Here is a 27,590-nt window from a genome sequence, read left to right as displayed (position 1 = left end):
TTGTGCTTAAGGGACAAACAGCTATAATACCCCTCCCCTCCCCTTCCTTCCTTCCTTCCTTCCTTCCTTCCTTCCTTCCTTCCTTCCTTCTCTCTCCCTTTCTGTTTTAAGATTTCCATCTTAACCATCCAAATGATTAAAGTGTGTTTCTACTTGGAAACAAGTCACATTTATCTGGGAAGTTACTTACGTGGAAGGGCTTATTCCTCAACAAAACCATGCACATGAAACATAACTCTTGTTTAGTCGAATCATTGTCATAAATACAATCAAGAATGAGGAATTGTCATTCTTGATTGTATGAATGCAACCACTCTGAATATTCTGTGAATATAATTTAATCACTGGAAGTCTCTAAGGAGAATTGCTCTAAAATTTATTTTCAGTGATTATCCATTTATGAAAACCATACCATTTATGATAAAAAAAACAGTTTGATAGAGTGTACAGGTTATGGGGAAGTGGTCCGCAGGCTGCAGATAACAAGAGGTTTTGCCGTCACAGATGTGGATGAGACAGTGAGTTGTAACTGACGATCTCCATCACACCAAGCTGTTCTGCCAGGGAAGCAGGATCTGTTATTTATTTGATAGCCAACAACTGCTTAGAACCAGGCATCAGCAAACTTTTCTATAAAGAGCCAGGGAGTAAATGTCTAGGGCTTGTGGGTTACAGCTATTCAACTCTTGCCATTGTAATACAAAAGCAGCCAGAGACAATTTATAATCAAATGACATGGCTGTGGTCCAACAAAACATTATTGTTTTTGAGCTTAAATAGTAATTGTGAGAACACAGGTGATATAAATATAAATCTGCATGGCAGTAGGAAAAACCAAAAGAATGCTTGCAACTGGAGGTTGTCAAAATGTAGAGCTTCAATCAGCTTTTGAATCATTGTGTGATGTCAGCTTTTCTTTTCTTTGGTTTTCCTTGAACAGAGTTTGTAATTTTAGAATTTGCTGGGCACAGGTCAGGTCCCAGACATTCCTGATCTCCGATCTTCTACTGTCCTGTTTGGTGCTTCAGAAGGTGGGCCTGCATCTTTTAATGCATTTAGGTTGTCTCTGGCAGGACTACATTGCCACTGTCCTCTGGATAGCACAGGATTGCTCTGTTAGAAAATTTTGGTTGATGGACCACCAGGAACCAAGACTTTTACTCTACTTGAAATGGTTATTTATTTATTTATTTTAAGACAGAGTCTCACACTGTCGCCCAGGCTGGAGTGCAGTGGCGTGATCTCGGCTCACTGCAAGCTCCGCCTCCTGGGTTCACGCCATTCTCCTGCCTCAGCCTCCCCAGTAGCTGGGACTACAGGCGACTGCCACCACACCCGGCTAATTTTTTGTATTTTCAGTAGAGATGGGGTTTCACCGTGTTAGCCAGGATGGTCTCAATCTCCTGACCTCGTGATCCACCCGCCTTGGCCTCCCAAAGTGCTGGGATTACTGGCGTGAGCCACTGCGCCCGGCCGAGATGGTTATTCTATCTCTATGTGTCATGACTTCTTGTTCCCTAACACAGTGATAGTGACTGCATTTGCTGAGTCGATATTCCTTTGGGCAAATACGTAATAGCACATTTAGCTGCCTTTCAGCCATTAGTTCTCTGCCACCTTGGGAGGAGTGGCCCTGTCCTTATTCTTCATTATTAGTCTGTGCAACTTTCGACTCTAGAATGTCTGTCATTTTGAATAGTAGTTACTGGTCTGCCCTCCTAGCTTTTTGGACATGTCCTTACTGTTCATAACAATACCGAAAGCCTGCCTTTGCCCTTCAGAGCCATAGTCTTCAGGAAGCACACATGGCCAGTGCTGCTTTTGAGTGATTTCTTCTGCTGTGTAGTTGAGTTCTCAAAAGACAGAGATATTTCTTGCCTGTGTTGTAGCCTGTGCTATGAGTGGCTTTTCCATGGCACCTACATCTGGTGGGGAGCTTGAGCCATCACAGTTTCTAACTGAGAAACCTGGTTGGTGATGCAACAGGCCAAAGAGGGTAAGAAAAAAGAAGAGAAGGGAAATCTATGCTTTCTGTGTCTTGCAGCACATGCTGTGGATAGATATTAGTCATTGATTCTTGGTTGTTTCATTGCTGTCTCCAGAGACTTGAATTGCAGCTTCTAGAGAGAAAGAGTGCTTTGCTCAGCACTTGTTTCAGAAGGAATGGATGTATTTCCTAGAGAAAATACATGTGCATAACCTGTGAGGTGTACAGAGTGTTATGATCTGTATCATTCGTCACAAGCTCCTCCACCAGTTCCCTCAACCTTCATACCAGCAATCCTGGGAGGAGGTGGCCAGGGCTGGAATGTAGGTGTTTTCACAGGTGAGGAAACAATGGCACATGAAGCACCCCTCAGCCAGGTGGTAGGAAAACATCTTTGAACTCTCTCCCCTTCTCTCTGCCTCTCCTTGCCTTTTAAGTCAAAATTTGAACATATCTATTGAGGTACTGTCTACCCAGTAGATCTCTAATAACTAAGGAGACCTAGGTTCTAGTGCCACCTCTAAATTGCCAGGCTGGCCTGGGTGCCGTGGCTCACGCCTATAATCCCAGCACCTTGGGAGGCCGAGGTGGGCAGATAACTTGAGCTCAGGAGTTTGAGATCAGCCTGGGCAACATGGCAAAACCCCATCTCTACAAAAAAATATAAAAATTAGCCAGGTGTGGTGGTGCGTGCCTGTAGTTCTAGGTACTTGGGAGGTTGAGGTGGGAGGATCCCTTGAGCCCGAGGTGGGAGGTCGAGGCTGCATTGACCTAAGACGGTGCCACTGCACTCCAGCCTGAATGACAGAGTGAGACCCCACCTGGTCTCAAAAAAAGAAAAAAACAAATTGGCAGGCTGTGTCACCTGCTTCTGCTCTGGCTGACCTTGGGCAAGGCATTTACCCTTTAGAGGCTCCCTTTTTATTATCTGTCATGTGAAGGCCCTGTTTCAAGAAGGCTAAATTGACTCTCAGAATCAGGGAAGAGAACTCATGTTTTAAATGAACAAGGTGATTAGGTGGCTTTGCACACAGGGGTTGCAGATAAGTAATCACAACTCACTATGGGAGCAATTTTGTCAAACCTCCTTGATGACAAGACAACACCAAGTTTCTGGATTCTTTCCTCTCTCTTTCAGATGCCAGTATGGACAGAATAGCTTATGATGCTTATCCCCACCCACCACTTCCGAAACATTGAGCGGAAACCAGAATACCTCCAGCCAGAGAAGTGTGTCCCACCCCCCTACCCTGGTCCTGTGGGAACCATGTGGTTTATCCGTGACGGCTGTGGCATCGCCTGTGCCATCGTTACCTGGTTTCTGGTCCTCTATGCGGAGTTCGTGGTCCTCTTTGTCATGCTGATTCCATCTCGAGACTACGTGTATAGCATCATCAACGGAATTGTGTTCAACCTGCTGGCCTTCTTGGCCCTGGCCTCCCACTGCCGGGCCATGCTGACGGACCCCGTGAGTATGTCTGGGCTTGTTTTGACCAGCCCACACTCTCCTCCTCTGGCTCTGGCATGGCCACAGCCTGCATGTTCCCCCTGGACCTTGGGAACTTGGAGGATAGGAGGGCCAGGGGAGGGTGAGGAAGTAGATCTCTGCCTTGTTCAGAGTTCTGTGGAATTCTGGCCAGGGAAGAGGGGTCAACACCTGTACCACAGCCTATCTGTCTTGGTTAAATGATACTATAAGTACATGGATATATACATTCATTGGGCCTGCTCTGGGAGGGGTTTGGTCTGGGGGAAACCTGGCCTCTGGTTAAAAAGACACAGATAACCTTGAAGACTGGGGCCAGATGATCAGAGCAGAAAGCATGCTGGAGGGTTGGGTCAGGATTGGGCTTCCCAGTGAAGACAGTGCTGGAGCTAGGTGGACTTGAAATTAAAGCCACATCCAATTCCAGGAACCTGCACGGAAATGGCCTTCACTTTGCTTGGGCGAGGTGCATCTTTTCCTGAAAAGCTGGACAAGCCTGTTTCAGGCCGCAGCAAGTGCCTCTTGGTGAATATCTGTGGGTAAAGCAGTAGTGTTCTGCTCAATGACTTAGCTAAATATGCCAAGCTGCGCACGTGGCTATTGAATGTTTGTGCACCCTGGTATTAAACCCTCTGTTCTGTTCCTTTTCTTGTATGGGAAAAGCAAGAGAATACATTATTTGATAAAGACCTCCTGTGGCTTGTTTCAGTACGTGGGACGTGTGTGTTTAAGAGAGGGAAAGCACTGCTACTAGCAGTGACACTGGCCATACAGATTTTGTTTCTGTGAGCCCCAGGGAAAGTGCAGTAGTGATGATGATAATGGGCCTGAGCTAGTTCTTGTCTCAAAGGGCTCCATTTCCTGCCGGTTCAGGTGGTAGATTATTATTAATCCATCCCAAAGGAAAGCAGCTTTCCCAACTCAATTACATATCAGCCACTGGTCCAGACAGCATCTCTGTTCCTGCGCATGCCTCAGGGAGACCAAACACACCAGCAGGCAGGGGCCTGTTTGCCTAGTATTTAGCACTGCATGCGGGACAGCCATCGCCTGAGGGAAGCCATGTATATGGGTATAATCCTAAGTGTCCCCAAACACAAGGATATGAAAGAGTTTTCCCAGCAGCATCTATATGGTCATGCTGAAAATAAGTTAAGGATTTATTCAGAAATGTTTATGATACCATTGCTATTGGGGATATAGAAGTAAAAAACATTGCTTTGCTCAGTTCATAGTTTACTGTCTACTAAGCCCCAGATACTGTTCTTACCCTCAAGATGCCCTCTGTCTAGAAAAGACAGGTGATGATAACCCTGTGTGATGAAGGTTTGGCAGAAAGAAATGTGGATTGCTGTGGGAGAACAAGGGTGGAGAGATTAATCAACATATAGAGGTGACTGCTTAGAGGAAGCGATGCCCAAGCCAGCTCTTCTCCGAGCAGTGGACATTGAGGACAGGAAGGAGGCAGAGGGAGCAGCTTGCACAGAGACGTAGGAATGCAGGAGCATGGCTCCTCTAGGCACCAGGAGTGGTGGGAACTTAGGAAGAGAATGGATTTAGGTTGGTGATGTGGGCGAGGTGCCTAAGGAGGAGGATGGGAGTTTGATGATGAGGGGCAGTTTAGGGCCCCTAAGGATTTTCAACACATCTTAAACAAAACTGTCATTTTACAAGTCTCTTTCTGGCAGTAGTGAGGAGGAGTGGCACTGGTGTGGGAATAAAATGAATAGCCATGTTTCCTGAGTGCCCATTCTGTGAGAGATTGCTTTCTGAGCAATGGCTACAGCTATGAGCAAGACAGATGCAAATTCCTGCCCTTGTGAAGCTCACTTTGTAGTGACGGGGTCAGGTAGGAAGGACATGATTGAACAGGGTATTTTGGAAAGTGGTAAGTGCTTTAAAGACAATAAGACAAAGTGACCAGGATGATGTGCTGTTGACTTTCTGGGGCAAAGGGGGACTACTTTAGATCAAGGTGGTCTAAGAAGTCATCTCTGAGGTGGTGCCTTTTGAGCTGACCTGAATGGCATGAAGCTACAAGCCAGGCAGACGAAGATCCAAGGGTAGAGAAAAGAGTAGATTCAAAGGCCCAGAGACAGAAACATGCTCAGCACATCTGAGAAACAGGACTAGGACCAGGGTGATCAAAACATGGTAGGTGGGGGTAAGAGTGGTTGGAAGAGGTGAAGAGGGCCTCAGAGGCCAGATTGTGCAGGGCCTGGTAGGCCTCATGAGAACTTTGGATTTTATTCTAAGTGCAGCCGGCAGCCTTCAGAGAGACAGGGTGTGATCTGATTTGCATTGTGCTTGCAATGGAGGTTCAAGGTGTTACAAGTAGAAGCAGGGGGACTAGAGGTATTGCAGTGGTCCGGGCAAGACATGGTGTGGCTCGGACCAAAGTGAGAGCAGTGAAACCAGAGAGAAGCTGTTGGATTTGGAGTCTGTTTTAAGCTATTAGTTTTCAATCCTGCCTGTACCATCTCTTGGAGAGCTGTTTAAAAGTACTGATGGCTGGGCCTCACCCCCAGAGACTACTATAATTGGTCTGGGGGCAGGGCCCTGGGTATTCGAATGCTTTAGAGCTCCCACGTTTCCCTCACATTTACCTCTCAGGCCAGGCCTGAGAATGCAGTTCAGAACTGACAGAATGGAGAGAGATTGGAGAGTATACCTTCCAGAGTCTTAGCTAGAGCAGCCTGGGGAGCACTGGTGCCCATTATTGATTTTGGAGGAGAAATCAAGGCTTATGTTCTAGTCAGACTGCCACTATATTATGTGCAAGGAGAGATGCTAGGTGGGCAGTAGATAGTCAGTCTGGAGCTGATGGAGGATCAGGGTTGGAGAGAGTGTGTGTGGAGGTCATTGGTTTCTGTAAGGCATGTGAAAACAGGGAACTGGATGTTGGGCAGTGAGAGGGGAGCCTTCTGCCCTGGCATTCCCACTGCCCTCACATACATGGGTTCTTTACCCACTGCATTGAAGCGTACAGCCTCTCCAGGGACCTTGGCCAGCTGGCCCTTGCAGTGGATGCAGAACAGCATGATTCTCACTGTGGTGTGTTGCCAGCTTCCAATCCCAAAGCAGTGAGAGGCACAGACTGTATCCTAAACAACAGTTAGCTTCCCAGAGGTGTATTTTGCTGGTAGCCCCAAAGATAACTGGCCCCAAAAATGAAGAATTTGTCAAATATCTACCATTAGTAAGGGAAGCAACTGAGAGCATGTTCTATAGATGTGCCCTATTTTAGGGTCTTCATGCTACCACCTGCCTCTGCCCATCCCCAGCACATGATATCTCATGCAAAACCCAGTATGCAAAACAGAGAGGTGGGGCTGCAGAAGCGGGAGCTCCTAAGGCACTGCTGGGGCACCCTGGGATTCCAAGGAGCAGAGTTGGAAGCCCAGGTGATAAGCAGGTAAGTTAGGGGTTCCTTATTAATATTGCAGTCGTCTTTTTTTAGAAAGTGGTCACTGCAGGGTTCTAAGGAGTTCCCTAATGGGATTATGTTTTATATCTCAAGAATTCATGTTGCACATACTTTTTCAGAACAGTTTATATCCAAAGGTTATAAGCAATGTATGCATTGTGTATCACTTTGGTTTGTTATCATTACTAGTTTAAAATATATATATATACATATATATATATATATATAAAAACCTTGTGGTCTCCCTCAAGCAGTTACTTTACCACTTTCAGCTTTGGAATAATTATTCCAAGTGTAATATCTGAACAATTGCAACCACTATAGCCTTCTGGACCATTTTTCAGTGATTTACTCCAATGTAGCAGTAGATAGGTCCACATAGAGCTTGAAAAGAAAAGGGAAGTGGGAAATGACTCACAGATTTGTAAACAGCCCCCTTGGAAGTGAGACAGCCGTTTGAGAAATAGGGCAAAAGGGACAGGTCTCTAAACAGAGGGAGGAGGACAAATGGACAGAGGAGCAGGGCAGGTGCCTCACTTGACAGGCAGGCTGGCCTGGAGGCAGCATGGGTGTGGGCAGGAGCACAAGTCAGGCTCATGTTTGGTCTCCTGACGCCTTCTCCTTGCCCACTCTGAGGTTGTGTAATGTCATTATAGGGGCTTTCTGTGTTCTGGAAACACTTTAGACGTTTATAAGTCTAGAATGGCTCCATGTGTCCTGAGGAGGCAGCCTCTTGAAGACAAACTGGACTCAGAAACCCTTATCTTACTACCCTTCTCTCTCTTTTCCTCATTTCTTGGTTTCACCACCTTTTCTTTTCCAAATTCCTCATTCTCTGAGCTCCCTCAGGAATCCTGAGGGGCTTCTTTATTTCTGAGACAATGTCTGTCTCCCAGAAGATGCTTAAACGTGACAGATGTAGATTGTTTCTTTTTGTCCTGGCTGCCAGGAAGCTCAAAGCCAAGTGTTACACAATGACAGTAATTGTATAAACCCTTATGATCAGTATATTTTTGCCCCTCCTTTTTTGGATCTTATCGTTTATTAACTTCATAAATTATTTCAAATCTGAGACTTGAGAAAAGGAGGAATATACAGTCATGTGTCACTTGATGGGGATAAGTTCTGAGAAATGTGTTGTTAGGCAATTTGACCATTGTGCAAACATCATAGACTGTACTTACACAAACCTAGATGGTACAGCCTACTGCACACCTACGCCGTATTGAATAGCCTCTTGTTCCTAGGCTACAAACCCATGCAACGTGTTACTGTACTGAATACTGACTGTGGGCAACTGTAACACGATAATATTTGTATATCTAAACATAGAAATGGTACAGTAAAAACATAGTATTATAATCTTGAGGGACTTGTCATTGACTGAAACATCATGATGTGCATGACTGGATTTATAGTCAATTTAACCACATTGTTAAGGAAAAGAAAATTCGTCTGTCTACCTGCTCCCCCACCCCGACCCCTCTTGAATCCCACTCTGTGAACACCTTGCTGTAAACAGACCTCCATGACTATCTCAGACCACTACCGGCCACTGATTTTCATTTCAGCTGCCAAAAGTCATTGAGTGGAAATATTGGGGCTCACTTCAAACATGCAATTGGTATTCCCTTCTGGAGTCTCTTTCAACAGCCTTACAGAGCATGTGCTGTGTTCAGAGCCCAGGTGGCAAGTATTTCCTGGAAGGGTAGCATGGCAGCATGATGTTGGACCTGTGGGAACATAGAAGAGGAACAGCAGGCCAGGTGCTGGATGCAGCCAGAGAAGCGCCTTGTGCATCTTGCCCAGAAGTATTGGCACATTCACTGCATCAGGTTAGGGGACTTGCCTGAGGGTCCATTGGAGTATCGTGCTGCATTCTCCCTCATGCCAGGCAACTTCTCACCCCTGCCCCCGAGCAACTTATAAATCCCAACAGGAAAAGCTTTCTGGCTTCAGAGGGAGGAAAGCAGCCCATTTGGGGACCAACTAGCTACCTTTTACTTTTCTGTGGAGGAGACACATGGCCAGTGATGCAGGCCTGGGGTTGGTTACCATGCTCCTGGGAGAGCTGTTGGAGTTTCTACCCAGACTGGTGGGTGTGCACGGGCTTTGATCCCATGGCCCTGAAACAATTTAAGCAGGTTTTCATTCTTGTTGCTTGAAATGGATGGAATGTTGAGTCCTTGAAATTATTGGCATTTCTTTAGAACCTGTCTCCACTACTTTCCATTGTTTCTTTTTATATTATCATATTATCCTAGATACTTATTGAAACAGCCTTAGTATCCTAGGCCTGTTTCAATCTTAATACTAGTGTGCTGAGGTAGTTGGTGGTGGTAGAATGATGTTGTGACATCAGGCAATTAAAATAAAGTTTTTTCCAAGTCACTTAACAGAAATACCTGGTAATGATATGTTTGTCTTCTGATAGTGACATAGGTTCTAGACTTGGATTGTCTGGGTCAGAACCCTACTTCTGCCACTTATTAGCTGTGTTACCTTGGGAAGATGCTTGACTTCCCTGCCTTTGTTACCTCATGTTTAAAATGGGGAATACCACAATCTCTACCTCATAGGTTTGTTGTCAGAAGTAACTAACACATACAGTTTTGTCACAAAGCATTTGGAACTATGCCTGGCCTGTAAGTGCTCAATAAATGTATCATTATTCAGCTTGAGTTATTGAATACATTCTTCGTGCCAGGCCCTAAGCAGTTTGCTGAGCTACAAGTTGACAGATGTTGTCTTGTCCTCCAGGAATGTCTTGTGATGTAGGAGAGATGGTGTGTAATTAAATGACGTGTTCCATACTATACATACAAGCTGTGGTAGCACAAAGGCTAAGTAATGGGTTCTGCCTTGGATGTGGCCTGGGGCCATGAGGAAGTAGCAGAGAAGGTGATCCCTGGGTGCATTTTAATTTGGGTGCTAGAAGCAAGGAGGTGCCTGGCAAGTTGGAGCGGGTGAGGGTTTGGTTGGTGCTTAAATGGAGCCCCTGAGGGTAGAAAGGAAAACTTAGAATGTTGCCTTTGGGAAACTCCAAATAGACCACAGGGAGGGACTGTTTACGGAGGGAGGTGGCACTGGATTGGTAGTCCAGAGCTGAGATATGGTGGCCTCAAGAGCCCTGCCCAGGAGCTTGGACTCTGGTCCATGGTCCCTAGGGAGCCAGTGAAGGTTTTAGGCCAGGGGAATAATGTGATCAGATTTCCATTTAAGAAAGTTTACTCTGGAAATTAGTTGGGAGAAAGGATAGAAGTGGGTTGCAGGATTTGAGGGAGAGACTAGAGGCAGGAAGACCTGGGAGATGCTCTAATAGTCTGGGGCAGATGATGATGGGCTGAACTAAGGCATGATGATGGCATGGAGGGGAGAGCATGGGATTCAAGGCACAGTCTGAGGCAGAATTAACCTGGTGGAGTGAATGGGATGTGGGGAAGAGGATTAGAGGAATTGGTGGTGGTTACTGGATTTCTACCCCAGGTGACAGGGTACATGGATATGCCATGGGCCAGGAAAGGGAGACTTGAGGGAACAGTTTGGGGAGAAAGCAGCAGGTTCCGTTTTAGCTGTGCACAGTGCCTTTGGGACAGCCAAATAGAGAGATCTGCAGATTCAAGAGGTCTGAGTTGGAGCTTGTGATTGGAGCATTATCACCGAGTGATGGTGGAAGTAGAGTTGAAGATTGTTCAGGAGAGAGTGCAGAATGAGCAGGGAAGGAAGGAGTCTTGGGGTGAAACCCTGAACCCTGAGGAACACCAGTAGCCTGGATGGGCGGGATTCCAAGAGGAGGGGAGAGGCACAGCCCCACAGACAGGGAGAAGGACAGTGAGGAGACCCCAAGGAAGACAAGGGCTAAGAATTGACTTTTGGATTTGGCCACAGTGAGTTGCTCAGTGACCTGGTGCGAACAGTTCCCTGGTATGGAGGGGACAGGTGCATGAACAGTAAGGGAGAGGTCAGCAGAGACATCAGGTGCACAAGGCTTCAAGCAGCTTAGCTATGAAAGGGCAGGGAGAGCTCAGAGCCTGCTAAGAACACAAGGAGAAAGCTTGGAGGTAATGGTATGGGGGCCCTGAGGGCCAGGATTGACTTGAGCCTCATCTTCCAAGACAGTGGGTACCCGTGAGTCCAGGGACAGTGAGGCAGTGAGATGAGGAATATGAGAAGGATTTAACCCTAGCAGCCTTAATTTGCTCCAAAATAGAAAAGGAAGTGGGCAGGGGTCAAGGAAGGTACTAGAAGTTTGGGCTACCTACTAAGGGGAATGGCTGATGGAGGCACATCACACCCTACCCCACCCCTAAATACACACAGGTGCACATACAAGTACCATTATGTTCCTTCTGCACTGAAAACTCAGAGCTCTGTGCAGAGAATGTGGAAGGAGTTCTGCCATGACTAGAGCAGAAAAGCTTTAACAGCTTCTACACACTTATTTTAAAACAGATTTAAATTGGTTCCACTGTGGGGCCAAATGTATATTTTGGAAGCTTTGTGATCTGCTTTTTATGAGCCTATAGATTTTTTAAAGTGTTTTTACTTTAGTACAAAGAGAAAAGACTTTAAGAATATGTTTCAGAATGTTGGTAGTACTTGTCTTGGGTGATCAAATCAGAGTGAATTTTTCCTTTTCCACTTTTTCATCTGTATTTTCTTTCTTAAAACCATGAACAAGTATTACTTTGGAAATGAGAGAGATAAAGTCAGTGCATTTTGACCTGCTAGGCTTGCAGCAGTGTGGAAGCTTCAAGACATCCCTGTGGAGTGTGTAAGAACGTGGGGTAGGGGGATAGGCATTTCTCAGTAATGCAAGCATGACAGCAGTGACAAAAATGTCTCAGGCCTTCAATCTCCTGCTGTCTGTCCAGGATTGTAAAGAACAAAGTTCCTTACCATGAACTAATAACAAAGAGCTCTGAAATCTGTGGAGATGAGCCCAAAAGAGCATAATATGCATTTTAAAAAAGAATGAAACAAAAAGTTGCCTGAGGCAGAGACTGGAAAGTGTATGCATCAGACTCCTCAGTCTTGGGGGCTGGCCCAGCTGCTCTCTGGCTCTGAGAGGTGGGCTCAGGTGGTTGGATGGGTGGGGCCCTGCCTGAATGGAGATGGGCCTTTTGGGAGATTTATGCAAATGGAGTCTCATTGTGGGGGCACATGTTTAGAAAGGCTGAGCTGCTGAATGATGTCTCTACTCAAGGTCTGGAATAAATAGGCCGTAATGAGAATACCAAACAAGAGCTCTGATTCCCTTTTATGGGTTAGAGGTTTCCTCTTGCAGTCTTTTATACAGGGTCCCCTGGGGCTTACAGTACATTCTGGTGGCTGGGACCTTCTTAAAAACTGGGACTAAACAAAAAAACCACCTGGGCCATAATTTAGGAAAACTCAAGCCTCGTTGCTTCATGTCCTTGGGGGAAAGGATGTCCCTTTGCACTTTTTCTCTTATACACATGACAATAGTAACTTCTAGTTGTGGTTTTCTGGTTTTAGGATCCACACAGTTGCCCAAACTCAATTACTTTTTACATGAAAGAGAACACAGCTGGGGACAATGGCTCACACCCCTGTAATCCCAGCACTTCAGAAGGCCAAGGCAGGAGGATCGCTTGAGTCCAGGAGTTCAAGACCAGCCTGGGCAACATAGTGAGACCCTGTCTCTAAAAAATTTTTGTAATTAGCTGGACATGGTGGCTTGTGCCGGTAGTTCCAGCTACTTGGGCGGCTGAGGTGGGAGGATCACCTAAGCCTGGAAGGTCAAAGCTGCAGTGAGCTGAGATCGTGCTACTGCACTCCAGCCTGGGCAACAGAGCAAGACCCTGTTTCAAAAAAAAAAGAAAAAATAATGAAAAATAAGGCCCTTTGGGCTTGAGACCCTGTCCTCTGCCTGGACCAGTGCCCTTCCCAGGCCCCCTTGGAAATCCACTTATGCCATGTGGTCTGGGCCCTGCCTCACCTTCATGAAACCTTCCAGACCCTGGCCCTTCACAGTGCCTCACTGGTGGCCCGTTGGATGTCTCAAGGTGAGACAATAATGACATTTTGGTTACAAGCCTCAGGAAAGTTGATCATATTCCTACTTTGGGTGGCTCCTCAAGTTTTTGTTTTTGTTTTTGTTTTGCTTGTTTTTAATGGATCATTTCCTCTTTGCAAAAGCCACTTGTTTCTAATAGAATATTTCATAAATATAGTCAAGAAAATTAAAAGTACCTGTGATCCTCCTACATAGGGTCTCACTATGTTGCCCAGGCTGCTCTCAAACTCTTGGCCTCAAGCTATCCTCCCACCTTGGCCTCCCAAGTAGCTAAGATTACAGACATGTACCACCACACATTTTTTTTCTTTTTTCTTATTTATATGTATGTGTATATGTATATAAAATCTGTTATAGATGTTTCCTGTGTCAATAATTGTGTATTTTTATAGCATATTTAATGTCCAAAACGGTATTCTAACTGGTATTGTAGATACCATGTGGTCCTTGCCCACCAAAATGTGTTTGCTTTTGAACTTTCTGTCATAGGCTTTTCTGACATCTGACTACATTTTGCAGACCAGATTTTTTTTCTACTGTTTTAACTTAAAAAAAAAAAGTAATGAAATGCTTTAGAGAGTTGAAAGAGTATAAAGGACCTCATTTCCACCCCACTCTCAGTCTGAGCCTGCAGCACTGAGGTGCGCTTGCATGTGGACAAGTGTTCCTTCAGACTTTCTCATTGCCTCCTTGTCTCCTGCTCCTTGTGAGCCTTTGGCTCCTCATCCTCAGTGGGGAAGCACGTCATTGCTCTGAATGACAGGTCAGCCAAGTGCTGCCCATCTCAGGAGTGAATAGGTCCTCACTGAGGCAGGAGAAGCAGAGGCTTAGCAGGGGAAGGGCTGGGGCCCAGCAAAGAGTCATGTGAAGAGCAGACGACAGGAGATCTGTAGGCCCACCTCTAGGACCGTGCTTGAACTGATTTTCCTCCCAGGTGCTCCTCTCCTGCTTAGTATCCACCAGGATCCTCCTGGCCTTCCTAGGATCCCCACTTTCAGTCCTCTTGCCTCCCTTTAGCTCCTGACGCACTGGTGGCCATGCCTTTCTCTAGGTGCTCTGCCTCAGCAGCCTCACTGCATCTGCACCTGTCCACCCACCAGCTGTATGAGGCCTGGGCTCCCATCGCTTCTTTGTACTTCCCACAGTGTTCGGCATGGTGTAGACCTTCAGGAGAGAGTTGTTGGTTGACTTGTCTCTGCAGTTTTCTTAGCTGGAATCTTAATCCACTGTGAGTCATTTTCACAGTGCAAGACAGAACCACAGCTCCCTTGCATTTCCAGCACTTAAAGATTTTTCTGTTTCTTCAGTGGCTCTTCCCTTCCCAGAATTCTTTTATAGGAAAGGTTCTGACACCCAGTCTTCATCCCTTCTGCCCTGGGAACCCCTCACTTGGCCTGTTATAATCCATCGGTCCAACTCTGGGGAGACCAGGGTGCTCTATCTGAAACTCCCAATTTGCCCACCCTAATAAACTGTACTTTCACTCTGGGCACATGCAGAATGTGGGGACAGTCTTAGTTTCTGTCCTTCTGATGTTACACTGACTTCCCTGATTGTGGTATCTCATGGGTGCCTACTGAGGAGTGGAGCTTGCTGTGAAGTAGACCTGACACAGGGGTCATGGAGGGAAGAGTGCCCCAGTCCAATGCCATAGCTGTGGCTTGACCTCGTGTCAGGTGTGGTTCTTGTTTGGGAGCTGGGCCAAGCAGGCAGAGTTCCCAGGATGGCACATCCTTGGCTCCCTGTTGTCACTACTTCTTTCACCCCTTTGCTGGAAGCTGCTGGATCTTTTACCTTTCACTTTGTGTCATACTGTGTACCAGGCCAGGGCATCTGGTGCTGATCAAGGTAGACCCAATCATGGAGTTTCTGGTCTGGCACAGTAGCTCTCAGCCCTGGCTATAGAGTAGAAGACTCTGCTAGGGAGTGTAAAAAATGCAGAAGTCAGGGCCATACTCCCTGGTAGTTTTTTTATAGTAGTGCTGCATAAGAGTCTAGGCATCTGTAGTTTTTTGAAGCTGCAGCATTGGTGCCAACACCAGACCCAGAAAACAGACCACCATATTACTGAGCACTTTATCTGTGGCAGTACCATCTGAGCCCTTTCTGCAAGTTGTCTATGTCTAGTTTAACCTTCTCAGTAATGCTGGGAATTAGATAAGATGAGTCCTGCCTCACTGATTAGGAAACTAAGGCATAGATAGGCCCACCTGTCAGTGGGCACACCACTCGCAAATGTAGAGCTCAGATTTAAAGCAAGGCCAGGGGACTTCCAAGCCAGCTCTAACCCTTTGTGCTATGCCACTGACTGATCTTCTCTCTTACTTCTTGGACCTATATTCCCAGCTACCTTCCTGGGTGTCCCTCAGGCACTTCAGACTCAGCATACCCTAACTGAACTGATCAGCTCTTCTCAGAACTTCCTTCTGCTCTCTTAATGGTTTTGACGTGCCACCACTTACCAGCTGCTAAAAATGGAAACCCTACTGGGGCTCATCTCCTCCCTTTTTGTTACCCTCTCCACCACCCAATAACAAGTTGGTTCCCTACCATCATTTGTAGATTCAGATCTCAGAATTTCCTCTCCACTTCTCCCGCTCCATCCTCGTAATTCAGTTTTTCCTTACTGGACCATCAACAATAACCTCCTACGTGGTGTCTGGAATTTTCATCTCTCCCTCTTCTTATATGATCCACATAACACAGGCAACTGAGCTCTCTTCCTGAAGCACCAGTGTTACCTAATGGCTCTAGGCTACCTATAAAGAAAAATCCCATCCCAACCTGGTATTCAGCGCACCACATGGGCTGGCCCCGGCCCATCGGTCCGGCCTCCCCGCTGACACTGCATACGCACAGTTCAGCACACTGATATTCTCCCTGTCTCCCAGATATGCCATGCTCACCCTCACCTCTTTGTCATTACTCATGCCCTCCTCTGCTGGAATCCCTTTTCTCCCACAGGTCTACCTAGCCAGCCTCTATACATTCCTCGAGACAACCCTTGAACATCACTACTTAAAACTCCTCTGATTCCCCTGATTAATTGGCTGCTGGCTCCTCTGTGCTCCCTCAACACAAATACCTTCCACAGCATGTAACCTCTTTTACTAGAATCGTTTGTCAGCCTCCAAAACACTATAAGTCTTGGAAGCAGGGACCTCCTGTGATTCCTGAGTCCATAGCAGTGAGCATGAGAGCACAGGGCTCAGCACCAAGCAGGCTCTTGGTGAAGGTTGGTTATTAAGACCCTACTTAGGCCTGTGCACTGCCTGTTTTCCTTCTGTTTGGATGGGTGCACAGCCAGAGCAGAATCTTATGGCATTTTGGCTCTGCCATTGGCTCTAAAGAACGCTAAGTATTCACAAGCATACTCCACAGGTGGAAGAGCAAATCAGAGGGCAGCTCTGGCCAGACAGCAAGTCAAATACCTGAGGGCAGCAGCTCCCAGTTGCTTATGGATTCACTAAGAACCAAATATAGATTACAATTATTCATAACAATACCACTGGTAAAAGTAAAACTTAATCCCAGCAAACAACCCATTAAAATGTGGAGCTGCAAATTTTGATCTGGGGAAACTGTTAGACATGTTGCTCACCAGTGAAACTTAGAAAGGGAGAAGCTGTTATCAGGAAATTTAATATAGACCAAAAAATAGTCAGTGAGCCAAATCCTTGCTGTTATATAGGAGAGAATGGATTCAATTAAAATAATTCCAGTAAAATGAAAATACAAAGTAATCAGGAACAATGTCACTGTTTAGTGTAGAAAATTAATCAAAGAATTGGCCGGGTGTGGTGGCTTGCACCTGTAATCCCAGCACCTTGGGAGGCTGAGGCGGGCGGATCACAAGGTCAGGAGATTGAGACCATCCTGGCCAACATGGTGAAACCCCATCTCTACTAAAAATACAAAAAATTAGCTGGGCGTGGTGGCGAGCACCTATAATCCAAGCTACTCGGGAGGCTGAAGCAGGAAAATCGCTTGAACCCAGGAGGCAGAGGTTGCAGCAAGCCGAGATTACACCACACCACTGCACTCCAGCCTGGGCGACAGAGCAAGACTCTGTCTAAAAAAAACAAAAAACAAAACAAAACAAAAAAACAAAGAAAAGAAAAGAAATCAAAGAATTAATGTGGCCTAATGGCATCTCCTCAGAAAAATTTTTGGTCAATAAATATTCCTTAATGTTGGCATAATTCTGAACACAGAGTCCACATGTTGTTGGTATCAAAGTGTCCTGTCCATGTGTGTGTGTGGTTGCTGCTTTCAAATAACTATCCCCACTGTAGAATGTTAGAGCTGATAGAACCCCCAGCCCAACCCTGATACCTTTCATCTTTCCTACAGGGGGCAGTGCCCAAAGGAAATGCCACTAAAGAATTCATCGAGAGTTTACAGTTGAAGCCTGGGCAGGTGGTGTACAAGTGCCCCAAATGCTGCAGCATCAAGCCCGACCGAGCCCACCACTGCAGGTACACTCACTGGGGCTCGCCTCCTCTCTTCTCCCACTGTCCTGCCTCCCTCCATCCCCGCCAACACCTGCCTCCTGGAGTAGCACACACTTCCCCAACAGGGGCCAAGTCAGCATCGGGATTCCAAATGTCCCCTGCTCTGGGCAGAGAGTGATCACTGTGAGTCTCCTTCCTGGTCCCTGTGAGCCCTCTAGATTGCAAAGAGCATTTGGTTTGGCCTCAGGACACCTGTCCCGGGACTTGGCTCTGCCACACCTGACATAGGACCTGGGCAGGGCCTTTGTTTTTATATATGTAAAATGGAGGGGATTCCTGCTTTTCCTACCTCACAGCTTTATTACAAGGGTACCATGAGAAAAAGCTTTAGAAAATCATTCTGTGAATGTCTGGGACTTGAAATGAAGCGGTTGTCCTTGAATGAAGACTTTCTTTTAAAACTTCTAAAGGTTATGATAGTTGCAGAATTAAACCAAAAAAGAAAGCCATTTCCCCATCTTATCTGTGGTCAGTTTTCTGTTTTGTTTTCAGGTTTCTTTATTAAGTTTTTCTGATGAGAAGACATCTAGCTAAAAGTTGTACTTTATTGGCTGGGCACAGTGACTTACACCTGTAATCCCAGCACTTTGGGAAGCCAAGGCAGGAGGATCACTGGAGCCTAGGAGTTCAAGACCAGCCTGGGCAACAAAGCGAGACTCTATCTCTACAAAAAAATTTAAAAATTAGGCCGGGCGCAGTGGCTCACGCCTGTAATCCCAGCACTTTAGGAGGCTGAGGCGGGCGGATCACCTGAGGTCAGGAGTTCGAGACCAGCCTGACCAACATGGAGAAACTCTGTCTTTACTAAAGATACAAAATTAGCCGGGCGTGGTGGCACATGCCTGTAATCCCAGCTATTCGGGAGGCCGAAGCAGAATCGCTTGAACCCGGGAGGCAGAGGTTGCGGTGAGCCGAGATTGTGCCATTGCAGTCCAGCCTGGGCAACAAGAGTGAAACTCCATCTCAAAAAAAAAAAATTTTTTTTTAATTAGCTGGGTGTGGTGGCACACATCTGCAGCCCCAGCTGCTCAGGAGGCTGAGGGCAGAGCATCGCTTGATCCCAGGAGTCCGAGGCTGCAGTGAGCCAAGGTTGCACCACTGCACTCCAGCCTGTGCAACAAAGTGAGACCCTGTCTCTAAAAAAATTTTATTTATTTATTTTGAGACTGGGTCTCACTCTGTCATGCAAGCTCATAGCTCACTGCGGCTTCAGACTCCCAGGCTCAAGCAATCCTCCTGCCTCAGCCTCCAGAGCAGCTGGGACTACAGGCATGCACCACCACACACAAAGGGAGACACAGTCTCACTTTGTTGCCCAGGCTGGTCTCGAACTCCTGGGCTCAAGTGATCCTCCCACCTCAGCCTCCCAAAGTGTTGGGATTACAGGTGTGAGCCACCTCGACTGACATACAAGGAAACTTTACATGCTGAATTACAGAAATACAAAAATATCACTTGGTCCCCTTTTCAGAGGGTATGTGTTTGGGTGGGGAGGGGTTATAGAGGACTGAATCTGCTCCAGGTGTTGGACATCTTCCTTGTCAGGCTTAGCCTGCGGAGACATTTGGGTGTGTGAGAGATCTGAACGGCGATTTCTGCCTGGCCTTGCTGCCTGTCTTTCAGAGGAGAGTGGCCAGTCTCCAGCACTCAGATTCCGGAGTCAGCTCCCCAGTACCTGTGTGCTGTGCCCACGGCACCTCAGCCTGCCCTGCCTCAGCGTCAGTCATCTATTTTCATCTTCCTACTCACCCCTGGAAATCGGGATTGCTGCAGGGATGGCCTCCCTAGATAAAGAAATTAAGGTTCAAAGGGGTTGAGTGCTCCACGGTCACACAGCAGTGAGTACTAGAGACAGGTTTGGGTCCCGGCAGTTCTGGCTCCAGGTCCAGACAGGGCTCTTTCCACAGGAACTCCAGTTTGGGGATGACACATGTAACTTTATGTAGTTGTATGTATGTTTTTCTGTCTGAAAGAGAGAGATCTGCAGACCTCCTCAAAGCTTGAGGGTGAGGGCTGAGGAGCCTGGGTAGGGGCCAATGGTGATTGCTAGCTCCTCCGGGGTTTCTGTCTGTGGGTGAGCTTGCTTCTGAGATCTAATTCAAGGCTTGCCTCCTGTGCCTGAGATGGAGGCTTCAGTCTGGTCTTTTCTTGCCACTCTCGGGCTTAGGAGCCAGCTGTTTTCTAACCATCACTCAGATTTTTTTTAAAAAGCTCAGCTTGCTTATGTGGTTTCTCAGGATAGCCCGGTATGGTGGAGCAGACTCTGGCCTTGAAGTTGGAGTGGTTGGTGTTGGAAGTTCAGCTGTGTCGCTTGCTACACGGTGGACCTTCGGCCAGGTGCTGCATCTTTCTGAGCCTCAGCTTTCTCCTCTGTAAAAAGGGTTGTTTCTTTGTAGTTTGTTGTGAGGATTAAGTATGAGTAACTGTGAGTCACCTAGCTCAACAAGCGTAAGCTATTGCTAATAGAAGAATGTGTATGGAGTTAGGGATATGCTGGGTTTATAAAGGCTGGACCAGAACAGGGAGGTGTTAACTTTGTATTATAGAAAAGAACTTTTGGTGATTCTTTTCTCTTCTCTCCCTGAGCCCTCAGCTGCCTCCACCGCCTGGCATTTTCCTCACTGCCTCCTCCTTGCCTCTCTCCCCAGGATGATCCAAGGGAGGTATTCTTGTGTGCTAGTAAACAGATCAGCTTGGGCAAAGCAAGAGCTGCTGATTCAGATGAACTAAAGTGAGGATGCCTGTAGAGTTGCCTGTTCCTGCCTCAGAAATGCATGCTGACAACTGCTCCTTTGTGATGGTGCGTGGTGGCCCAGGCCATCTGGGGACCCACAATTTTGGATAAGCAGAATCTCCAGCATACCAGACAGACTGGGTTTGTTTATAGTCGTTGAGCCCAGAGGCTGCCTGCCTGGTTAAAGTTGATGTCGACCTTGCCCGCTCAGGCAAAGGTGCATGTGTGCACATACGTTTGCGCCCAGCATTTTAGAATTTGAGACTGTCTCCATTCCCTTGTCTCTGGTGGATACCACAGATACACCTAGACCTTGGGCCTGTAGGTGTTCCTTCCAGCCCTATGGTGTGTGGTTGGGTCTTTCCTTCCTGGGAGAAGCACTCTGAAACCCCACGCTCTTTCATCCTGGTGTCAAATCTCCTGTTCATAGGAACCATGGAAGCATGTGGAAACTCTGTGGGAGGAGCCATTTATGCTAATGTGGATGGCCATGGCATTTGGCTTATGCTTTCAAGCTTGTCCAACCCATGGCCTGTGTGCCACTTGCAGCCCAAGATGGCTTTGAATGTGGCCCAACACAAATTTGTAAACTTTCTTAAACATTAGGACATGTATGCATAGACTTTTTTTTTTTTTTTTTAGCTCATCAGCTGTTGTTAGTGTTAGTGTATTTTGTGTGGCCCAAGACAGTTCTTCTTCTACCAGTGTGGCCCAGAGAAGACAAAAGATTAGACACTCCTGCTAGGTTCTTCTGCATGAGGAGGGAGAGACCTCTGACTTTGGCAGCCCCCCGCCTCCACACCCCAGACACCCACACTGAGGCTAAGACAGTCCTGGGCTGCTTAGAGCCCCTGAGAGATTCTTGTTTTGTCTTTCTCATGGTTATGATTACTGAGAAAATCTATGTAGCACTAGTATTGTTTTTAAAGCATTTTGCATACATTTTTGGTGCTCACAATGACCCTAAGAGATCAGAGTAGTTCTGCTGAGGCTGATTGGAGAACCTAAGTTTCTCTGACCAGAGCCCAAAATGAGGACCTGCTCTCAGATCCCCTGTTCTTTCCACTCCACTGCACTGTCCTTCCCAAAATCGTTTCTGAGCTGGAGCCAGGATGTGGTATAGATGTCTTTTTTGCTTATAATTTTAGTCATAGCCAGTGAGGGGTAAAATGAAAACCTGTGTGTGACGCCATGGCTCACTTAGTACCTTCTTGCTGTTTTCTTACTATTTTCCTACATGAGCATCCCAGTCTGATGTAGTTGAACTCATTTTCCAGGCCTGCTCTTTCCTGTCTGTGGTGTCAGAGACTTCATTCAGCTGACCCTTGCTAAAGGGGGCCCTGGGCTTGGCTCTGAGCTCGACTCTGAGCTTATAGAGGTGGATTAGACCTGGCCCTGGCTCTAGGAGCCTGCCACCCAAGCAGGGCAGGCACACTTCTCCACCATGATATAGTTTGGTAAGTGCTGGTATAGGGAGAGACAGAACCCCATGGAATGTGGCTATGTTTCCATGTTGAGCCATCACCCAGGGTGAGCAAGAGAGCCTCGGCCAGCTCCTTTGGGGATGAGTACCAAGTAAGGGCCCTCATACCTCCTTGGAGAGGAAACACATAAGCCCCAGAGAAACTGAATACATATGAGCCAGTGAGCTTGGTGGATTCTACCAAGGTTTGAGGCCTGAAAAAATGGTAGGAAATCTGGAGGAAGGGGAGAAGGGAAGCATCTGCCTTCTTCTACAGTGACGACAAAGAAACATAGAAGGGGCCTGGGAAACCTGGAAGGCCAGGATGCAGATACCTCCATTTAGGGCATTTGGTCTTTTCTGTGATTGTTTTTGCACACTTGGTCCCTGTGCCATGGAGCTCACCAGCTTACAGCGTCTCATCCACGAGACTCTGGAATTAGTGCCAGAAAGGAATGCCAGGAGAGGACTGTGGACAAGAAGGACCCTTAGAGGATAGGGTGGATTTTGCCAAGTGGAAAGAATGAAGAAAGGGCCTCAGGTGTTGAGGCCATCCACAGCCAAAACGGGGAAGATGGCTGAGCAAGTGTGTGGAAGAGGCTCTTAGTCTGTGATCTGTGAGCCTTCCTTGGCCTTGTGTTTGGGCTGCCCTGCTATGCCTAGGGAGGGAACACTGCTGAGCCCCCTGCCCATGTGCATGCAGTGGGGGCTGGGAAAAGGGCTGGCTCTGAGGTGATTGATTCCCTTTGGGAGTCAGGAGTTGTGGGGGGAGGTCCACATTTTTTCTTCCTCATGGCAGATGGTGCCAGAGGTGAAACAGCAGGGCAGGGTGTGGTATGTCCTTCACTGCCCTTCAACATCTGCCTCTGGTCCCTGTCCTTGGTTGCTCCAGGCTCCAGCCCCAGCACCCTTCTGGCCTCTGTGAGCAGCTCAGCCTCTGAGCAGTGCCTCCAGCCACGTGGGATGGGCCTCACCCCACCCACTCTGCATACCACCTGGCCCAAGGAGAAGGGTAGTGTGGGTTTGGCATTTCATATCTTTGAAAACAGGAAACTCGGGGACCAGCATTTTAGACCAACACTTGTGGCCCTCAGCAGGCTGTACTCACTCTCCCTGCGGTGTTTATTTTTCTAATTTGGAAGCCCAGCGAGACTCAGCCCATTGGGAAACCCAGCTTCCTGGCATTCACGCCTTGTCTCCAGAGAGGCTGGGAGGAGAGGGAAGAATAGCTTTGCTGTAAGAGCTTGTTTAAACTCTTGGGCAGCTTTCAGAGGATGTCCAGCCACTTGGCACCTCTCTGCCGCTGAGCCAACACTGTCTCAAGAGCACCCACTTGAAAACCCTTTTAAAAATAAGTGCAGATGAAAGAGAAACTGCTCAGGAGCCAGGAGCAGGGAGGTGGTTACCCTCAGGAGTTTGTTCCCCAGATGGGAAGGGGATTAAGAAACCCAGAGGTGCTGGTCTCTGGAAGAACATGCCAGAAACAGGCTCTATGGTGGGAGCATGGCACCTGGTGCCTGAGGCCTAGGATGCAGGGAGTACTCACTCTGCACTGTCTGCTTATCTGCACTTTTAAAATTGTGTATTGGGAACAGGCATTACCAATTTAAAAATATATATTCTGCATGTATACTTATATGTATATTCATGTGTATTTTTAAAAGTGGTAACAGAGAGAGAGAAGCAGAGTGGCTAATGGACTTGCTGGTACTTCTCTTGCTCTTTGTTACCTCCATGTCCCTTTTGTGTCTCCTTTTCTTACCTTGCCCTCCTGGTCCCCAGGGAAATTCTGGAACCAGGCCAGCATGTCTGAGATATACCCATTCCCAACATGCCTGTGTTAGTAAGGCCCTTTGAAGTTGTGGAAAAGAGCAAGGGTGCAGACCAGTATGAATCCACACATCGTCTGAGCCAGGCACAATATCTGTCTCATGTATTCTTTATAATAAACTTATTTTGTACAGAAGGGAAACTAGAGGCTCCGAGTTAGCCAGTTTGACCAAGGTAGCTCAGCGGACTCAGGTCTGCATTGCCACCAAAGTTCATGCGAGGCTTTGAAAAGCACACATCTTCTCCTTGGGCTACAAGTGAGCACCGTGGTGGAGGACTGTTTCCGGGTAGTCTTTGCTTCCAGGTTCTGGAATCCAGGGGACAGCACACCTCCAGCCCAGCAGAGCTGCTCCTATGCTTTCCCTGTCCTTCCAGCTGGTCAGCAAGAGCTTAGCCAGCACTGTGGTGTGAGTGTGATCCAGCAAGGCCCCAACGCCCAGCCCTTCCTCCAGCATCCACCTGCCATTGCCCACTCTGCACTTTTTCAAGAACCCAAGGTAAAATTAGTTATAGAAGCTAGTGGAGAGGAAAGCTGGTGTGAACTAAGGAACTTTTTTTATTTTTATTTATTTTTATTTTTAGTTGTCAAATGATTCTTTATTGAAATATCGTCCTTTGTGCTTCTAAGTAGCTGGGCACTCCACCGCACCACTGTTGATGTCATCTGTGATGTCATGAGGGTGGCGGCCACCAACTTGGCAGCCCACAGACTGGGCAGTCCCCAGAATCCCTTTAATGGTTCCAGAGAGTTGTCTGGTTAAAGGTCGGTGCTGTATCTGTAGAGCAATGTTGACAATCTCATCAAAGGTGGTATTTCCGGCTGGGCACAGTGGCTCACGCCTGTGAGCCCACCCAGCACTTTGGGAGGCCGAGGCGGGGGGATCACTTGAGGTGAGGAGTTAAAGACTAGTCTGGCCAACATGGTGAAACCCCGTCTCCACTAAAAATACAAAAATTAGCCTGGCTTGGTGACACATGCCTGTAGTCCCATCTACTTGGGAGGCTGAGGCAGGAGAATTGCTTGAACCCAGGAGTTGGAGACTGCAGTGAGCCGAGATCACACCATTGCACTCCAGCCTGGGCAACAGAGCGAGACTCTGTCTCCAAAAAAAAAAGTGGTATTTCCGCTGTGTTTAACATTTTTCTGTTTCTTTCTGTCTCACGGCAGTTCCTTGAGGGCTTTGATGATCAGGGCAGAGGCAGAAGGTACCATGTCAATCTGGGCCTATCTTTTCTGAATAGTCACTTTCACTGTAAGCCTCAGACCCTTCCAGTCACCAATTGCTTTGGCAATGTCATCACCAACCTTTTTTGGGGACAGACCCATGCGGCGGGTGCAATCTTGGGGGCCCACACAGGATGGCACTGACTTCACTCCTGGTGTTCCTCAGCTATACAACTTTGATCTCATTGAGGTCGAACTTCAGCAGCATGGTAGAGGCAGCTGGTGTTGGATGAACCCAGATTTGGGACAACCGAAGAAGGTTGCACCTTAGCTGCCTCCGAGCTGAAAGCCAAGAGCTTTTTTTTTTAAAAAAAAAAAAAAAAAAAAAAAACTTATTTTTAGAGACAGGATCTCACTATGTTGCCCATGCTGGTCTCAAACTCCTGGGCTCAAGCAATCCTCCCACCTTGGCCTCCCTAAGTGCTGGGCTTATAGGCATGAGCCACCATGCCCAGCAGAACTAAGGAACTTTGGCACAATCACAGCTCACTGCCGTCTCCTCTCCCCACCCCAGGCTCAAGCGATTCTCCCGCCTCAGCCTCCCGAGTAGCTGGGACCACAGGTGCACACTACCACACCCGGCTAATTTTTTTATTTTTGTTGGAGACAGGGTCTCGCCATGCTGCCCAGGCTGTCTTGAACTCCTGAGCTCAAGTAATCTGCCTGCCTCGGCCTCCCAGAGTGCTGGGATTACAGGTGTGAGCCACCAAACCTGGCCTTGAACTAAGGAACTTTTAAAAGGAAATATAATTGTATTATTTCAAAGCTTTGTTTATAGCATTTCAACCTGTTTTGAACAAATAATGCCCCCAAAATAATAAAAAGGAGACTAGAATTCATTAAAATAATGAATTGAAAAAAAATTGTCAATGAGCACATCTATTGGCTGGTGACCTAAATAAAGAAGCAGGCAAAATTGAGAGAGTTTATTTGGGCCAACATTGAGGACTGCAGCCTGAAACACACTTCCAAGTTGCCTTCGTTCAAGCAGGTTTTGGGGGGGGGTTTTAACTTTTATTTTATGTTCGGGGGTACATGTGAAGGTTTGTTACATAGATAAACTCGTGTGTTGGGGGTTTGTTGTACATATTATTTCATCACCCAGGTATTAAGCCCAGTACCCAATAGTTATCTTTCTGGCCCTCTCCCTCCTACCCTCCACCTTCAGGTAGACCCCAGTGTCTGTGTTCCCATCTTTGTGGCCACATAGTATTCCATGGTGTATATGTACCACATCTCTAGTCAATCTGTCATCATTTAGGTTGATGGGCATTTAGGTTGATTCTGTGTCTTTGCTGTTGTGAATAGTGCTGCAATGAACATTTGCATGCATGTGTCTTTATGGTAGAAGGATTTCTATTCCCTTAGGTATGTATCCAGTAATGGGATTGCTGGGTTGAATGGTCGTTCTGCTTTTAGCTCTTTGAGGAATTGCCACACTGCTTTCCACAATGGTTGAACCAATTTACACTCCCACGACAGTGTGTAAGTGTTCCCTTGTATCTGCACTTTCGCCAGCATCTGTTGTTTTTTGACTTTTTAATGGTAGCCATTCTGACTGGTGTGAGATAGTATCTCATTGTGGTTTTGATTTGCACTTCTCTGATGATAGTGATATTGGGCTTTTTTTTCATATGCTTCTTGGCCACATGTATGTCTTCTTTTGAAGTGTCTGTTCATGTCCTTTGCCTACTTTTTAGTGGGATTGTTTTTCTCTTGTAAATTTGTTTAATTTCCTTATAGTTGCCAGATAATTAGACCTTTGTCAGATGCATAGTTGGCAAATATTTCCTCCCATTCTGTAGGTTGTCTGTTTACTCTGTTGATAGTTTCTGTTGCTATGCAGAAGCTTCTTAGTTTAAGTAGATCCCATTTGTCAATTTTTGCTTTTGTTGCGATTGCTTTTGGTATCTTTGTCATGAAATCTTTGCCCTATGTCCAGGATGGTATTGCCTACATTGTCTTCCAGGGTTTTTATAGTTTTGGGTTTTACATTTAGGTCTTTAATCCATTTTGGGTTGATTTTTGTATATGGTGTAAGGAAGGGGTCCAGCATCAACCTTCTGCATATGGCTGGCCAGTTATCTCCAGTACCATTTATTGAATAGGGAGTCTTTTCCCCATTTACAAGCAGGTTTTTAAAGGGAAAAAGGAGCGGGCTGATACAAAGCTGTTTGACAGGAACTCTCATTGGCTTACAGAAATAACATTGATTAGTGATTGGCTGTACATTGTTGAACTATAGGGTGTGTGTCATTCCATGGCTACTTGGCATCAGTCTAGAGCCCACATAGCTAGTGGCTTCAAGAGGTAATTATTTGCTGGGCACAATGGCTCCTGCCTGTCATCCCAGCACTTTGGGAGGCCAAAGCAGGTGGATTGCTCGAGCTCAGGAGTTTGAGACCCACCTGGGCAACCCCATCTCCATCAAAAATACAAAAAAATTAGCTGGGTGTGGTGGCGTGCACCTGTGGTCCCAGCTGTTCGGGAGGCTGAGGTGGAAGGATTGCTGGAACCCGGGAAGTTGCAGTGAGTCGTGATCGCACCACTGCACTCTAGCCTGGGTGACAGAGGAAGATCCTATCTAACACACACACAAAGAAAGGTAATTATTTATCTCGAAGGGGGGTGTGAGACATGACTGCTGTCACAGGCTGTCTTATTTCAGTGCCTCTCTAGGCCTAATAATTAAATGGGCTCACATTCCTCAGATTAAAAAGTTTTTTTTCTTTCTCATGGCAAATGAGTCTTTCTAAACTTGAGCTTTGGGAAGCAGTTGCTTTCAAGCCCCTAGTAGTCCGGGACGCTTGTTTCATATTATTACTTTGAATTGTCCAAAGGGGGAGCGGGTTTGTGCTTGCTATCAAATAAGCTTGAAACAGGCT

The 27,590-nt window shown here is 46.8% G+C and overlaps 1 protein-coding gene and 1 pseudogene across 28 annotated transcripts in view, besides 3 other annotated features; one reads left to right on the top strand and one right to left on the bottom strand.

Moving 5' to 3' along the window:
• ZDHHC3 (zDHHC palmitoyltransferase 3) overlaps positions 1 to 27,590 on the top strand; it is a 60,914-nt gene that overhangs the window by 13,589 nt on the left and 19,735 nt on the right. For 11 of the 28 annotated variants that reach the window (NM_001349377.2, XM_017006562.2, NM_001135179.2 and 8 more), the window contains 2 exons: positions 3,126 to 3,455; positions 17,294 to 17,418. In NM_001349377.2, the coding sequence (NP_001336306.1) occupies positions 3,150 to 3,455; positions 17,294 to 17,418 (431 nt within the window). In that variant the 5' untranslated portion in view covers positions 3,126 to 3,149. Of the gene's footprint in view, positions 1 to 3,125; positions 3,460 to 3,900; positions 3,999 to 17,293; positions 17,419 to 27,590 lie in introns of those variants that run through there. The other 17 variants (XM_047448265.1, XM_047448264.1, NM_001330761.2 and 14 more) reach the window with 5 other exon arrangements.
• Positions 2,408 to 3,607: an enhancer, noted in NCBI's record as "BRD4-independent group 4 enhancer chr3:45000471-45001670 (GRCh37/hg19 assembly coordinates)". NCBI's record gives its function as "activates an origin of replication core promoter dependent on BRD2, P300/CBP, MED14 and CDK7 cofactors, and independent of BRD4, by STARR-seq in HCT116 cells {active_cell/tissue: HCT116}" and the evidence as "EXISTENCE:reporter gene assay evidence [ECO:0000049][PMID:35650434]".
• Positions 22,052 to 22,551: an enhancer, noted in NCBI's record as "H3K4me1 hESC enhancer chr3:44981527-44982026 (GRCh37/hg19 assembly coordinates)". NCBI's record gives its function as "activates a minimal SCP1, AML or CMV promoter by ChIP-STARR-seq in naive H9 embryonic stem cells {active_cell/tissue: H9 hESC(naive)}" and the evidence as "EXISTENCE:reporter gene assay evidence [ECO:0000049][PMID:30033119]".
• Positions 22,552 to 23,053: an enhancer, noted in NCBI's record as "H3K4me1 hESC enhancer chr3:44981025-44981526 (GRCh37/hg19 assembly coordinates)". NCBI's record gives its function as "activates a minimal SCP1, AML or CMV promoter by ChIP-STARR-seq in naive H9 embryonic stem cells {active_cell/tissue: H9 hESC(naive)}" and the evidence as "EXISTENCE:reporter gene assay evidence [ECO:0000049][PMID:30033119]".
• On the bottom strand, positions 24,061 to 25,001 carry RPL12P44 (ribosomal protein L12 pseudogene 44; annotated as a pseudogene).

Source organism: Homo sapiens, chromosome 3 (genome assembly GCF_000001405.40).
Source record: "Homo sapiens chromosome 3, GRCh38.p14 Primary Assembly".
Lineage (NCBI taxonomy): Eukaryota > Metazoa > Chordata > Mammalia > Primates > Hominidae > Homo > Homo sapiens.
The sequence above is the reverse complement of the archived record's forward strand: the minus strand, read 5'-3'. Positions and strand labels throughout refer to the sequence as shown.